The sequence below is a fragment of the Homo sapiens genome, chromosome 1, assembly GCF_000001405.40.
Source record: "Homo sapiens chromosome 1, GRCh38.p14 Primary Assembly".
In the NCBI taxonomy this organism is placed as follows: domain Eukaryota; kingdom Metazoa; phylum Chordata; class Mammalia; order Primates; family Hominidae; genus Homo; species Homo sapiens.
Genome location: NC_000001.11, coordinates 224,058,333 through 224,074,225, shown reverse-complemented (window position 1 = coordinate 224,074,225; position 15,893 = coordinate 224,058,333). Strand labels below are relative to the sequence as shown.

Here is a 15,893-nt window from a genome sequence, read left to right as displayed (position 1 = left end):
GCTTTGATGTGTTGGATGAGTTCTATTTTCTTTTTTTTTTTTTTTTTTTTTTTTTTTTTTCTATTTTCTCTTTATTCATCATCAAAGGGTTTTCTTAGGGAGGGTACATGGCTTTCCTACTTGCTTTCTTCATTCATTTATTCATTCTGGTTTCAAATTAGTTTTTATTTCTACTACCATTTGTGTTAGTCCATTTGTGTTGCCATAAAGAAGTACCCGCGACTGGGTAATTTATAAAGAAAAGAGGTTCTATTGGCTTGTGGTTCTGCAGACTGTACAGGAAGCATGATGCCAGCATCTGCTTGGCTCCTGATGAGGCCTTAGGAAGCTTCCAATCACGGCAGTAGGCAAAGGGAGAGCCGAAGTATCACATGGAAAGAGAGGAGCAGGGAGGTGCCACACTCTTTTAAACAGCCAGATCTTGCTAGAACTCACTCACTATCACAAGGACAGCACCAAGACATTCAAGAGGGATCTGCCCTCATGACCCAAACATTTCCCACTAGGTCCCACTCCCAACATTGGAGATTGTATTTCAACATGAGATTTGGAGGGGACAAACATCCTAACTATATCACTGTTATTGTGCTCATAGTTTAAAGAGATGAGTAATTCTGCAAGCCTTGTTACAAAAATATTGCTTTACCCTGCATCCTTCTTTCCTCAGAGGCAACAATTTTCAAATACTTACACTGCTTTTTTGGTATTTATCTTCCTATTTCTAAATAACATGCTTATATTGTTATTTCTTGGTATTTCAGTGTTAGACATTATCTATTGACTTCCTACCATGAAAGATAAAGATTGAATTTTCTTTCACCACTGCCCCCGCCACCACACCACTACCATATCTATGTACACTTTCCATTGGCCCACTCTATTCTGGTTGGAGCACAATTCCAAGTTTTCATTATAATAACCACTATTTGCAGATGAACTGTGTAGTATATTGTGATTATTTATTCTTTCTTGCACAACTTTTTAATTTCTCTGAGGTTAATAATTGTCTTATTTCCCCCCTCCCCTTGGTTTTCTCTGTAGTTATAACTAATTCAACCACAATCTCTCCCCAACTGCCTAAATCTCTCAACAGTTTCAAGCTCGTCACATATTCTATCATTTTCATCTTTTTGGAGAAATCTTTCCCTGAGATTTCCAACTTACTCCATTTGACTTGGCTGCTCTCTGTGCCTGCTGCATAATTATCTTCCCAGGATATCTCTTCACCATTCTCCTAGGGATGCTTTATGCTTTTCTCTTGAGTTGGAGCTTCTGTTTCTTATATCTTTCTCTCCTTTCATTATCTCCTTTGTTTGGGTGGTATACATCCTTCAGTAGCTTCCTAAGAAACTGTACATAGGAGGTAATTTTTAGACAGTTCATGTCTGAAGATGTCTTCATTTTGCCCTTATGCTTAATTAATATGTGAATTTTGGGCTGGAAATAATTTTTCCTCAGAATTTTGAAAGCACTGCTCCATTTTCTTCTGGATTCTAGACATTTTGACTCTCTACTCTATATATGGCCTGTTTTCTTTTCTGAAATTTTTTATAAACCCCAGTGTTCTTAAATGTCATGTACATGTGTTTTTTTCTGTGGTTCTATTTTCACATATTGTGCTGGGATTAGATGGGCCTTTTCCATCTGAAAACTTATGCCTTTCAGTTCTGATAAATTTTCTTGAATGATGTCTTTGATAATTTCCTCCCTTTGATTTTTTTTCCCAATTCTTCTCTTAGAGCAGGGATTCCCAAACCCCTGGGCTGTGGACTGGTACTGGTTCATGGCCTGGGACCGGTCCATGGCCTGTTAGGAACTGGGCTGCACAGTAGGAGGTGAGCAGCGGGCAAGTGAGTGTTATTGCCTGAGCTCCACCTCTTGTCAAATCAGTAGGAGATTCTCATAGAGGTGTGAACCCTATTGTGAACTGCACATGTGAGGGATCTAGGTTGTGTGCTCCTTATGAGAATCTAATATCTGATGATCTGAGACAGGACAGTTTCACCCTGAAACCATGCCCCAACCCCAACCCCTATCCATGGAAAAATTGTCTTCCACAAAACCGGTCCCTGGTGCCAAGAAGCTTTGGGACTGCTGTCTTATAGAATTCTTGTTATTCAAGTGCTAGGTATTCTTGAATGATCTTTTTATTTTCTTTAAATCTCTACATTCCTATTTCCTGTCTTTTTGTCATTTTGCTCCACTTTCTGGGAAATTTCTTCAACTGTATCTTTCAAATCTTTCACTGAGATTTTCATTTCTGCTAATAATCTCTAAATATCCTTATTTCTTGAATGCAATATCTTCTTATCTTTCTAAGGTTATTAATTACAGTTTTGTGGTGTCTTATTTTCTCTGCAGTCTGTTTCCTCCAAGTTAGGTGTTTTGTTTTCTGTTTGTTGTGGTCTGTTTATCATACTGGAGGTTTGCCTCAGATGCTTGGTGAGTCTTAGATAGCTACTTATATTCAAGAGAGGCACTCTTGCAGGCTGTTTGGAAGATCTGAGCATGTGGGTGGGGCTTATTTGTGGGCTTCATTGTATGATGATCTGGGGTTGGGGGATGGTTTCAGGATGAAACTGGTTCCACCTCAGATCATCAGACATTAGATTCTCATAGGGAGCACACAACCTAGATCCCTCACATGTGCAGTTCACAACAGGGTTCACACCTTTATGTAATCTAACGCTCCTGCTGATCTGACAAGAGGTGGATCTCAGGTGATAACATTTGCTGGCCCGCTGCTCACCTCCTACTGTGCAGCCCAGTTCCTAACAGGCCATGGACCGGTACCATGGAAGGGAGGAATGTCATTGAGGAACCCTTAAAGTTGAAATTATTTGGTATTTCCTCTTGGACTGGTCGGATTCTGTAGAGAAGATGCTCTAATATTTTGTTTGTAAAAAAAAAAAAAAAAAAAAAAAAAAAAAAGGCTGAGCTGGCCAGGCATGGTGGCTCATGCCTGCAATCACAGTACTTTCCGAGACAAAGGTGGGTGGACTGCTTGAGCCCAGGAGTTTGAGACCAGCCTAGGCAACATAGCGAGACCTCATCTCAACAATAAAAATAAATACAAAAAATTTGCCAGGCATGTTGATGTGCACTTGTGGTCCCAGCCACTCAGGAGGTTGAAGTGGGAGAATGGCTTGAGCTGGGGAGGCAGAGGAGCTCAGATTGTATCACTGTACCCCAGCCTGGTTGATGGAGTGAGAACCTGTCTAAAGAGAAGAGAAGAGAAGAGAAGAAAAAAAAAAGAAAAAGACTGAGCTGAGAATACTCCCTTTAATCTCCTGGAAACAGTACGCCAACCTTCAATAGTGCCTTATTGTCCAGATAATATGCCTCCTACTGATGAGGTGGAGCAGAAGCTCCAGGGATCCTACGTGTTCTTAAAACACTCTTCATCCAATCAATCTGCTTTTAGCCCTCCTTCCCCCTCACTTTCAGTAGAACCTCATACCACCAATTCCTGAGCCTTTTAGGACTTGGGGGGTGAATATCAAATTGCTTTTTGGCTTTCCCCATTTCTAGCTTAAGAACTGCTTTCTCAGATGTGCTAGTTAGTTGCCACTTGGTCATCACCTTTTCAAATTCCAAAATTTTATTGCTGTTACGGCTTTTCCATCCTTCTTTGTGAGTTTGTGCCTTAGAAAGAATCTTGTTATGTTGATTCATTAGAGTTTTAGGAGGAAGCAAAAATAAACACAGGGTTCCATCTGCCCTCTTAATTTAGTAGTCCCTCAGCTAGGCTTCCTAGTTAACTCCTTGCATTTCTGGGACTACTTCCTATTTCTTTTTCCTTTAAGACCCATTACTGATTCCTTTTTGCTTCGGACTTTTCTTATAGGATATTTCAACATTAACAAGATGAAATCCAACAGGGATAAACTGTAAGGTTTTATACTTGGAATAAAAACCCTGATTAAACAACCCGGAATAGAAGAGGTGTTGCTTAATGTCCACACGTGGAAAAAACTGTAAGATAAACATGCAGTAATTCAATGATGTGATATGACTGTTCTTCAAATGCTAATTCATAAGTGGGCTGCATTAATGAAGAATAATGCTCAGAACAGGGGAGAGAAGGTGATACTCCCTCTCGCCTTCTTAGTATTTGCTTCTGGATGCTCTGATGTCCCCCACCCCATACTTTAAGAAGGACAATGACAGCATATAACAGAAGCAGACAAAAGTGAATGGGTGGGGTGTGGCATGGCGGTGTGCATTTGTATTCCCAGCTACTCCAGGAGGCTGAGGCAAGAGGGTCCCTTGAGTTTAGGAGTCTAGCCTGGGCAACATAATGAGACTCCATCTCTAAAAAAAAAAGTGAATGGTTGGAGATAGGGTTTAAAGCCTCAGCATATGGGCCAGGCGCGGTGGCTCATGCCTGTAATCCCAGCACTTTGGGAGGCCGAGGTGGGCGGATCATGAGGTCAGGAGTTCGAAACCAGCCTGGCCAAGATGGTGAAACCTTGTCTCTACTAAAAATACAAAAAATTAGCCGGGTGTGGTGGTGGATGCCTGTAATTCCAGCTACTTGGGAGGCTGAGACAGGAGAATCACTTGAACCCAGGAGGCGGAGGTTGCAGTGAGCTGAGATCACACCATTGCACTCCAGCCCAGGCAACAGAGTGAGACTCTGTCTCAAACAAAACAAAACAAAACAAAACAAAACAAAAAAACCTCAGCATATGAAGAATGTTTAAAGCAACTAACGGTGCTTTGCTTGAGACAGAATTTGAGAGGGGAGTGTGAAAAGCTGTCATGTGGGTTAAGGATTAAATTTGGATTGTTTTCCAGGAGGCCAGCATTTGAACTAATGCTAGAAAATACAGAGAGAAAGGTGCCAGTTCAAGATAAAAAAGACCTTTCTTCTGATAAGAGCTCTTTGGAAAGGGCATAGGCTGGCCCGGGAGATACTATTGTCTCTGTCCCTGAAGGATTAGTGGTTGAATTAAGTAACTAAGGTCCTTTCCAGTCCTGTTATTCTATGTCAAGGTCAAAGAATCATTCAGAGCTGAAAGGGCTATAAACGTGATTTAGAAATATATTCCTCATTTTTTTAACAAAGAAATTGAGAGCCAGCTGATCAGTGCCTGAGCAAGTTCTCCAACCAAGTCTTCTAATTCTCCACTGTGCATTCCTTTTGGTCTTCCACACCAGCCTTTTATAGTTCAAACTCCATTTGTTATTTTATAGCCCCTACCATATTTGAACATTTATAGTGAGAGTTTCCTCAAAGAAATGCATGTAATTTTACATACAATGCATTTGTGTTTGTAAAGGATGAAGACTTTCCCAGAATTTATGCACCTCTTACAGCCTCTCAATGCTCAGGTCTTAAATAGATACCAAACGTGTCCTCAGGGCACGGGTGACACTTTCAGCTCAGCAACAGTGACTACATATGTCTGCATATATTTGCCCTATGATCTGAGGTACGTTTTGAGGGCTATGCTTTGAGTTCCCTGACCTGGGTTTGAAAAGTCTTTCACTTGTTAGTGTCCTGACACTGGCTATAACATATGAACCTCATATATATAATATGTAAAATCTAAGGCCTTATGGCAAATCATTTGTGAACATTTGTATGGTTACTGACTCCTTGGCCTGTCTGTCCTCATTAATCATAAACTCTGGGCTTAGCTATTTCAGTCTAACAATGTTTTCATTCTCCCCAGACTGTAAGGATTAGCCTGGTCCAGAAGTCCAAAAATCAGAATTAAGAATTGGGCAGAAGGCAAGGATTTATGCATGCGGAGCAGGTGTTAACGAGTTTGCTGTTGCCAGAGGTCAAGGACAGGCTGGAATCTAGGGGGGCAAGTCACAAGTTAAGGAAAGGCAAAGTTCCAAATCCAGGCAGACAGGGTCAGGCCCAGAGGCCAGCACTCAGAACATGAATGGTAACGTCCTTCTGGGGCACATCAGAAGTCTAGGAGTATATATGGGCATAAACTTGAAAGTCACTTGTCACTGTAATTATCTGCTTAGAGAGGGGATCAGATTCTTGGTAGAGTCTGCTGGCTTAATTAAAAAATAGCTGTAAGAATGCCATACTTCCTTCTAATTAAACATTTAAGGAAAAAACTGCATGGTAATACTCATAGCATTCCTGCCCCAAACAGCAATTACTTCATTTCCTTAAACTTTTACTGGGGAAAACAATTTCACGCTTGGGAGATAGGTAAAGGGTAGTCATGATGATGCATTTTCATGTTGCAGTTTTAGGAACTGATGGGACAGCATTTGAAGCAGCTTTTCATATCTGACCATCAATGAGCCACAACCCCCTAACATTGTTTTATCTTCTTTCTTTTTCTGTGTAGGTAAAAGCAGGATAGCATCTCTCTGTTTGATTAGGCAAGGATCAGGAGGGTATGGTGGTGAACAACCATTGGTGAGCAGTGTTGCTCTGTAGTGACTACATGTCAATTTCTTCATAGGCAGGATGAATGACCACAGATGAAATGCTCTGTAAGCTGTGATGAGGCCACTGAGTCATCTAGTTTGACAGGGTACTATTAAAGTAAATCACACAGTGATGAAAGGAGACCAAAAAAGAAGTACTGACCTTCTTTAGAAACCTTTTCATTTTCTTAGCTTAGGTTCATTTTATTTTTAGGAGGTATAATTGTTCTTTTTGGTCCACTCAAATAGGAGCTTCTTTTCTTACATTTTTTGGCAGGACTTGAATATAATAACCTTATCCTAGGAGACTTCCTGATTACCTTTGAAATGAGAGAGAGGGGGAAGCATAAGACAATTAAAAATGAAAGCCATGGTTGGAAAAAAACTTTTAGAGGTTATTTAATTTAACTCTCCTATGTAGCAGTTTTACTTGAAGCCTGAACTATTTCAGGAAACTGAATTTCTTTCCTTGAAGATTCTCAGGAAAACACTCATAACTATCCTAGACATTTAGGCAAGTACTTAAGAATTGGGTCTTAGCTAAATTCACCCTGGTGTTTCTTGCTTCTAGACAGGATTAAACCCAGTGATAATCTACAGAGCCTTTTTTGTTTTAAATGATTCAATAGGGAAATTAATTCTTAAAGGGAGGCCGGGTGCAGTGGCTCACGCCTGTAATCCCAGCACTTTGGAAGTCTGAGGCGGACAGATCACTTGAGGCCAGGAGTTCGAGACCAGCCTGGCCAACATGGCAAAACCTCGTCTCTACTAAAAAAATACAAAAATAAGCCGGATGTGGTGGTGCATGCCTGTAATCCCAGCTGCTTGGGAGGCTGAGGCAGGAGAATCACTTGAACCTGGGAGGTGGAGGTTGCAGTGAGCCGAGATCACGCCACTGCACTTCAGCCTGGGCAACAGGGTGAGACTCCATCTCAAGAAAAAAAAAAAAAATTCTTAGAGGGGGAAGCTACAAGTTGTACTGCTCAGGCTCCACTCAAATTTTCCTTTGGATCTCATCTTAATGTTGGTAGTACACTTTTAAAACCAGTACTAGGTGCAAAGTTCCTGAGGCAAGAAAAAAAGTTAAAAAAAGAAACAGTACTAGGGCATGTATACAACTGCATAAGGCAATTACAGATGAGGAAACTGAGGTACAGAGAGCCCCGGTATACTATTAGACCATCTGGCTTTTGGGACAAAGATGATGCTTCTTCTCTGGGTAAAGATTTATCCAGATAGTGGTTTCTGCAGATGGAAAATGAGTTCCAGTAGAGCCCTCAGCCTGTGTATGCTCCGTATGATCACAATCTAAAATGTAAAGCTGGTGGTGATTTGTGAGGCTTGGTGTGTGTGCTATTGCTTGGACAATTTTTTTTTTTTTTTTTTTTGAGACAGAGTCTCACTCTGTGGCCCAGGCTGGAGTGCAGTGGCACAATCTTGACTCACTGCAACCTCCACCCCCTGGGTTCAAGTAATTCTTCTGCCTGAGCCTCCTGAGTAGCTGGGATTACAGGCGCCCACCACCACATCTGGCTAATTTTTAGTAGAGATGAGGTTTCACCATGCTGGCCAGGCTGGTCTCAAACTCCTGACGTCAAGCGATTCACCTGCCTTGGCTTCCCGAAGTGCTGGGATTACAGGCATGAACCACTGCACCCAGCCTTGGAATACATTTTTATATTTCAGGGAATTTTTCATGAGAAAAGTTTTTTTTTTTTTTTTGAGACAGGGTCTCGCTCTGTTGCCCAGCCTGGAGTGCAGTGGCGTGATCATGGCTCACTGCAGCCTCAACTTCCTGGGTTCAAGCAATTCTCCTGCCTTGGCATCCCAAGTAGCTGGGACTGTAGGCGTGTGCCTTGATGCTAGCTAATTATGTTATTTTTTTTTTTTGAAGAGACAGAGGTCCTACTATATTACCCAGGCTGGTCTCAAACTCCTGAGCTGACACAATCCTCCTGCCTTGGCCTCCCAAAGTACTGGGATTATAGGCATAAGCCATGGTGCCCGGCCCATAAGGAAAGTTTATAACTGATTTTGAAAAAATTTAAGTAAAAACAGTTAAGAAAATTATTCTTAAAAATGACCAAATAGCAATGGAATTTTCATATATCAACTGCCTGCCTGTGGGGATGGTTTTGTGGTTCACTGAGGTTGCAACTTCCTTGTGCACTTTCACCTTTTACTTCCCTTCACTCTTCTGCCAGAAAGGTGACAGGTGGGGCCTTTCTGGGCAGTGAGAACATACTGTTTACTTTGGCAATCTTACAGATTTCTTACAGAAGGTGATACGATTTTCTTTAGGGTTAGACTTCTGAAGCAATTATTTGACCAGTATCATTTTGTACTTTATGAATCAAGAGCTTAAAAAATAGATTTTCTGAAAAGTCTCTTCTTTCCTTTCTATCTTAGTTTGTCTACTTTCTTTTTCTTTTTCTTTTGAGATGTGGCCCAGGCTACAGTGCAGTGGCACAATCTTGGCTCACTGCAGCCTCTGCCTCCTGGCTTCAAGCGATTCTCCTGCCTCAGCCTCTTGAGTAGCTGGGATTACAGACGCCTGCCACTGCACCTGGCTAATTTTTGTATTTTTAGTAGAGATGGGAGTCTCACCATGCTGCCCAGGCTGGTCTCGAACTCCTGACCTCAGCCTCCCAAAGTTCTGGGATTACAGGCGTGAGTCACTGTGCCCAGCCTCTTAGTTTGTCTTCTACATGGCACATTATCAGAGTTCAAAAAATCTCAGGATTGTCAAAAAAGTGATAATAATAATAATAACAGTAACAACAATAATATCAGACAGACTTCCCAGTCACTGTTCTAAGATGTGTCTAGCATGCTTTTATAAATAAAAAGCCAAGGAAGCTACCCCTGTTGTCTTGGTAAATTGCTTAGCAAATGCTGTGTGCCAGTGGGTACTTTGGAATGAAGATGCCAGCCTTTGCCATTCCTCATTCAAAGTCTATGCCAAACCTCACCTTACATCTCATGTTTTCTGAGCCTCTTTCCTAGGGTTTTGTGTGTCTGAGCTTACTAGAAAACACAGTTGGTTATGAAATCCTTCAAGATTCCCTTCCCTTAGTAAAAGTGCCAAAGTTCTATTACTGTAATAATCTTACAAAAACTAAACTAAAAAACAAACCTGCCCTAAGAAAAGATTTAAATTGCTATTGCTCACAACTAAGAAATCTTTATGAGCTGTGGATAAAGTTTTGTAACAGCCAACAAATATTAGCAGCCATAAGTCCATAAATTAACTATGAAAGTCAATGAATGTGCCTCTTGAATCAGATACCTGATACATTAGATTAGATTGTTTGAAAAAGGAAGGCCTCAAATAACACAAACCAGGAGCCCAGGAAAACATCTTTTCGTCTCCTTTTGTCTAATGTGGGCATTGATAGTCGGGTTCACCCAGGGAGGTGGGAACCCTGGATCCGCTTTCTTTTCCTTCTCTGTTTTCATCCCTCCCATTGTTTCCCTAGCGGGTGCCCAGTGGGTCCTCCGCAGGACTACTCTTCAAAAAGATTTGGCTCTTCAACCAGAGACCAGGAGCTACAAAAAAAAAAAAAAAAAAAAAAAAGAGAGAGAGAGAAAGATAAAGAAAGAAAAGATTTGGCTCAGAATTTACTGTCTTAACTTGGTTTCTTTATTCTATTCTGTCCTTGGGTTGGGCATTTCTGCTCATGTAAGCTCCCTGACTCCTACGTCTAATAAGAGTTTTTCTATTTTCTTTCTCATATCTCTGGATTTAGAAGAGATATCCTCTTTGATTCTTTAGTTGCAGCTCTTGCTCCATCTTACACATTTACCACTGTCTTCCTCATATTTGACTGGCCTCATGTGCAGTGTTACTATACAGTAAGTGCTTTGTAAATATTTGTTGAGATTTGAATGAAAATGAAGTCAGAAAGCTGGAATAGCCTGAGTTTATTACCTGTGAGCTGTGGACAGCTGTAATCTGAGAGACGGCAGGAGACACCTGAGAGGAGCAGCATGAATGCATGATAGGAGTCACAGCCTTGCCCCTCTGATTTCTTATGGTTTTTGGATTTTGTTCCCCCTTGGTAACTAGATGTTACACTTATAAATGTCACATGTATTTCTCAAATCAGAAAGTAGGAACTTAGTAGTTTTAGAAAATCACATGACCCAATTAAAAACCTTCCAAAGCTCAATCACTGACAATATTCAATTAAAATGCTTTATTGGGCTGGGCGTGGTGGCTCACGCCTGTAATCCCAGCACTTTTGGAGGCTGAGACAGGCGGATCACGAGGTCAGGAGATCAAGACCATCCTGGCTAACACGGTGAAACCCCGTCTCTACTAAAAATACAACAACAACAACAACAAATTAGCCGGGCGTGGAGGTGGGCGCCTGTAGTCCCATCTACTCAGGAGGCTGAGGCAGGAGAATGGCGTGAACCCGGGAGGCAGAGCTTGCAGTGAGTTGAGATCACGCCACTGCACTCCAGACTGGGCGACAGAGTGAGACTCTTGTCTCAAAAAAAAAAAAAAGCTTTATTGGTAATCATTTCTCTTAAACTGCAGAATAAAATGGCTTTATGAAAATGTCAGGCATAGAGACGATAATAATGCAACCTTATACTGTATTTATCTGATAATTACCCTATAGGTGATTTAAATGTTTAATAAGTGCCATTTTTGTGTTCTGTGGACTTGCAAGTGTCTCTCTAGGTGAATAATTTGGAGTGGTAAAAGGATCATTTCTCGAAGATGGAAGCAAAACCTCAAGAACACTGAGTAAAAGAAAACCTTTGCAATTCCCAGCAAATCAGAATTGCTCAGAGATCCCATTGCAGCAGTCTGTTTTCTTTGCTTCTTGGAAGAACCGTTGGAGGAGCAGCATTTAACACTGACATGCACACCCTCTTCTAAGTGGGGCGAGGTAGTGGTAGAAATAATGGAATTGAAGGCTATTTCGCCTTTAGAATTGGATTCCAAGTGGGCCGCACAGTGTTCTGTGCAAATGTGCTTTTTAATGTTCATAGGGAGAAAGACACAGACTCGTTAAAAGGAAAATGTAAAAATTTCTGGAAGGGACAAAGGATTAGTAGCCACCTGTGGCCTGATGTAAATTCCTTCCCTGGTACTCTTTTTTAAATTTTTAAATTATTTTATTTTATTTTTTGAGATGGAGTCTCACTCTGTCACCCAGGCTGGAGTGAGCACAATCTTGGCTCACCTTCGCCTCCTGGGTTCAAGTGATTCTCCTGCCTCAGCCTCCTGAGTAGCTGGGATTACAGGCACGTACTACCATACCTGGCTAATTTTTGTATTTTTAGTAGAGACAGGTTTCCCCATGTTGCCCAGGCTGGTCTTGAACTCTTGTGCTCAAGCATTTCACACACCTCAGCCTCCCAAAGTGCTGGGATTACAGGAATGAGCCACCGCATCTGGCCTTTTTAAAAAAAATTAATCTGGAAATCAGCTCCACCTTCCCTGCTACTCTTTAGCCAATTCCTTCCTTCTCTACCAACACTTAGAATCTTTTTCTATATTGGCAACACCCTTTTTCTCCTGTCTATAAACATGTTCATGTTTTCTTCCATCTAAAAAAGCTTTCTCACTTCAGTGAAATTTTTAGGGAAAAATGTAAAAAAATGTAAAAAGAAAAGAAAAAGAAAAAAGAATCTCTCTTCATATTGCATTTCTCTATTTCTTCCTTTATGTCATTGCTTGAAAGAGTAACAGTCTACACAGCGTTTGACATGTAGTGGGGTACTTTATAGTTATAGAATAGCAAAGGCATGCAAGTTGTAAAAACTGTCTTTATAAAGGTTTTGTAAAAAAAAAAAAAATCTTTCCTTGAAAAGTAGACATTGATAAGGAAGAAGAGGAGTTCTGAGCTTTGGTGGTTTTAAAACATGGCCCCCAAATTCTGTGATACTCTTCTCATTGAGAAGTGGAGTCTATGTCACCTCTCCTTGAATCTGGGTTCTGTGCTTATTTGGCTAATGAAATATAGTGGAAGTGAGCAGTGCCAGTCTCCAGGACCAGGTCTTCAGAACCTGGCAGCTTCCACTTCCTGTTTCTTGGACCCAGGCACCATGTGATGAAGAAGCCCAGGCCACACAGAGAGACCATCCTTAGATGTTCCAGCTGAGGGTCAAATACAATGGTTATTGTACAACACATATGTTTTGAGGTGGTTTGGTATGCAGTCCTAGATAACTGGTGAGCTGGTCTGTTCCTTTTCTAATCTTGCTTTCCATTAATCCTGACTGGCAGATGTAACTCCTTTAACTGGCCTGCAGGCTCCCATACACTCACATCTGTAGCCCTATCTTGCCGCTAGGCAATAGTTACAAACCCAAACGGCTTCAGGGGTGTGCAGGGCAGAGAACAAAAGAACCTTGACCAGCATAGCCTAATAGAATGTTCTCATGGAAAGTTCTTAATCTACGAATCCAATACACTGTCTGGCACACAAAGTGTGGCTAGTGTGAATGAGGGACTGAACTTTTAATTTAATTTAATTTTAGTTTTTTTTTTTTTTTTTTTTTTGAGACAGAGTCTCACTCTGTCACCCTGGCTGGAGTGCGGTGGTGCAGGCTCGGCTTATTGCAACCACCACCTCCCAGGTTCGAGAGATTCTCCTGCCTCAGCCTCCTGAGTAGCTGGGTGGGACTACAGGCATATGCCACCACGCCCGGCTAATTTTTGTATTTTTAGTAGAGACAGGGTTTCACCATCTTGGCCAGGCTGGTCTTGAGCTCCAGACCTTAGGTGATCTACCCACCTCGGCCTCCCAAAATGCTGGGATTACAGGTGTGAGCCACCATGCCCGGCCAATTTTAGTTAATTTTAACATGAAATGTAAAAGCCACATAGAGCTAGTGGCTAACTATGTAGAACAGTACAGCTCTAGACAATACCTGCTTATATGAAAGAAAACACTGGTCTAATTACATTGTTTTAGCATTTCTTAAGTCAAAGTTTTAGTGCATTCTGATTCTTAAAAATTGCATCAGTAGTACCAAAACAGCAGATTCCTGCCCCATCTTTTAGTCTCACTCGGCAGAGGCAACCACTTTCACTTCTCTTGGGCATTTCTTTTGATATTTACCTCTATATGTAAAGAATATGCTTAAACTGTTATTTTAAAATTTATCCTTTTTGGCCACTATCAATTTATTTCCTGTTACAATAGATGAAGATTTAGCAAGTATTAGAGAATAGATAGTACCCAATCTTTTTAGCATCATAAAATATGCCAGCTGGCCGTGGTGGGTCATGCCTGTAATCCCAGCACTTTGGGAGGCCGAGGTGGGTGGATCACCTGAGGTCAGGATGTCAAGACCAGCCTGGCTAACATGGTGAAACCTCATCTCTACTAAATATACAACAATTAGTCAGGCGTGATGGTGCATGCCTGTAGTCCCAGCTACTTGTGAAGCTGAGGCAGGAGAATTGCTTGAACCCGGGTGTTGGAGGTTGCAGTAAGCTGAGATCATGCCTCTGCACCCCAGCTTGGGTGACAGAGTGAGAATCTGTTTGAAAAAAAAAAAGCCAGTGTATCAGTTTCTTATCACTGCTATAACAAGTAATCACGAGCAAGCCTAATGGCTTAAAACAACACACACTTATCTTACAGTTCTGGAGATCACTAGCGGGACACACACCCAGTTGGGCTAAAATCCAAGTGTTACAGGGCTGTGTCCCTTTCTGGAAGCTTTAAGGGAGAATCTGTTTCCTTGCCTTTTTTAGCTTCTAGAGGCTGCCAGAGTTCCTTGGCTCATGTCCCCTTCCTTCCTCTGTAAAGCCCACAGTGTTGCACGTGTCCAACCATTCTTCTGTAGTCACATCTCCCTCTGACTACGAACTCGGCCAAGAAAGGTTCTCTGATGAAAAGAACAGTGTGATTGGATTGGGCCCATCCAGATAATACAGGATAATCTCCCCACCTCAAGGCCCTTAATTTATTTATTTTTTTTTTTTATTTTTTTTTTTTTTTATATTTAGTTAATTTAATTGAAATGTTTTTAAATATATTGTTTCATTGCATTGATCACTAACTTTGAAGGGATTTATTTTTATTAACTTGCAGCATAGAAAGGAGTAAAAATAAACAATACTCATATTTTCCCCAGTTAATGAAAATAAACAAGTATTAGTAAAAAGCTTCTGATCTCTAAGAGTACATAATAGAATTCTTTTTGAGAATAACTGCTGTTTTGACAAATACCATATCCTTCAAGACAAATCGAACAACCAAAAGACAATCTGCCTTTATTTCTCAAAATGACTTTGACCTCAAATTCTGAAACTGACAGGGTGACTTTGCTCAGTGAATAAATATGATACAGAACCTTTTAGAGGGAATCGAATATGCCGAATACCCAAGTGATCTCTCTGTCTCTCTTTTTTTTTTTTTTTTTTTTTTAAGGCCCTTAATTTAATCACATCTGCAAAGTCGCTTTCGCTCCATCAGGTAACGTCTTCACAGATCCCGGGGATTAGAATGTGGATGTCTTTGGAGGGTTATTATTCCACCTTCTGGATGTACCTTTCCTCTTCTCTATTTTCAGTGACATTGCCTAACCTTTAGAAACACTGTGGTGGGGTGGTATATAAGATCTTCAAGCTGTTCCCCTCAGACTTGCGCATTTACTTTTATTGGATTTGTATTTCGCTGTGCAGGGCGTAACAAAATATGCCTGCAGGTCCTGTATGGAGGCTGGTCTCCAGTCCGTGACAATTGCATCAGAAGTGCTGTAAAGAATCCTGCCTCAGTGAATCCAGACTGATGGTCCAATGAGTCTTGTTTCTCGGAGCTCCTTGAGGGCAGGGACTATTCTCCATTATAGTCCAGCGCCTGCCACGTACTAAGTGCTCAGAAAATACTTACCCCATGACTGAAGGATCTCTTCCTGACACTGGAGAACCAAGATTAAAGCCACCTCCCTGGGCTGAGGGTCCTTAACATGTGTGGCCTGGAGCTTTGATCTGTAGGACCAATCCTGACCTCATAGAGAGGCATTTGACCATGTAAATCAACATTCTAGGACTGCCTCCAATTCACTCTTGCTTCTAGACTGGAGGAGCCTGTGAGCTGGTTCTGATGCCTGGTTCGATGTGATCGCTAATGTGCTTAGGTCTGTCTAGTACCCTCTCTATTCAAATCTCAAAGTTTACTTTCTTCCCACCAGTACCGTCTACTCCAAAAAGCCAGTCTATCCAAGAGCCATGGCCTGGAGATTGGTGGCCTGCATACAGCTAACTGTTACACAATGCTAACTCCCTGATTTCTGAGTATTATAGGTAGGGCTTCACCTGTCTCGCAGGACACCCCGAGACATCATGTTAGTCACTGGGTACTCACTGTGACTTTGTATATCATCTGAGTCATTGTTCTGCCTTCCTGTGAGGCAGGAAAATAGGGTCTGGAGGCAGGGAACATAAGGCTGATTCACACTTCGGCTATAACAGAAAACATCCTCTCCATAGAGCGTATGCTGTAAATGAC

The 15,893-nt window shown here is 41.4% G+C and overlaps 1 long non-coding RNA gene across 1 annotated transcript; it reads right to left on the bottom strand.

Annotated features, from left to right (window-relative positions):
* Positions 1-977: 977 nt before the first annotated feature.
* Positions 978-15,360, bottom strand: LOC105373061 (uncharacterized). Its single transcript, XR_001737824.1, has 3 exons — positions 15,276-15,360; positions 6,572-6,728; positions 978-1,350 (listed from the first exon to the last, which is right to left on the bottom strand). It is a non-coding gene; the product is annotated as an uncharacterized LOC105373061 (long non-coding RNA).
* Between the last annotated feature and the right edge of the window lie 533 nt (positions 15,361-15,893).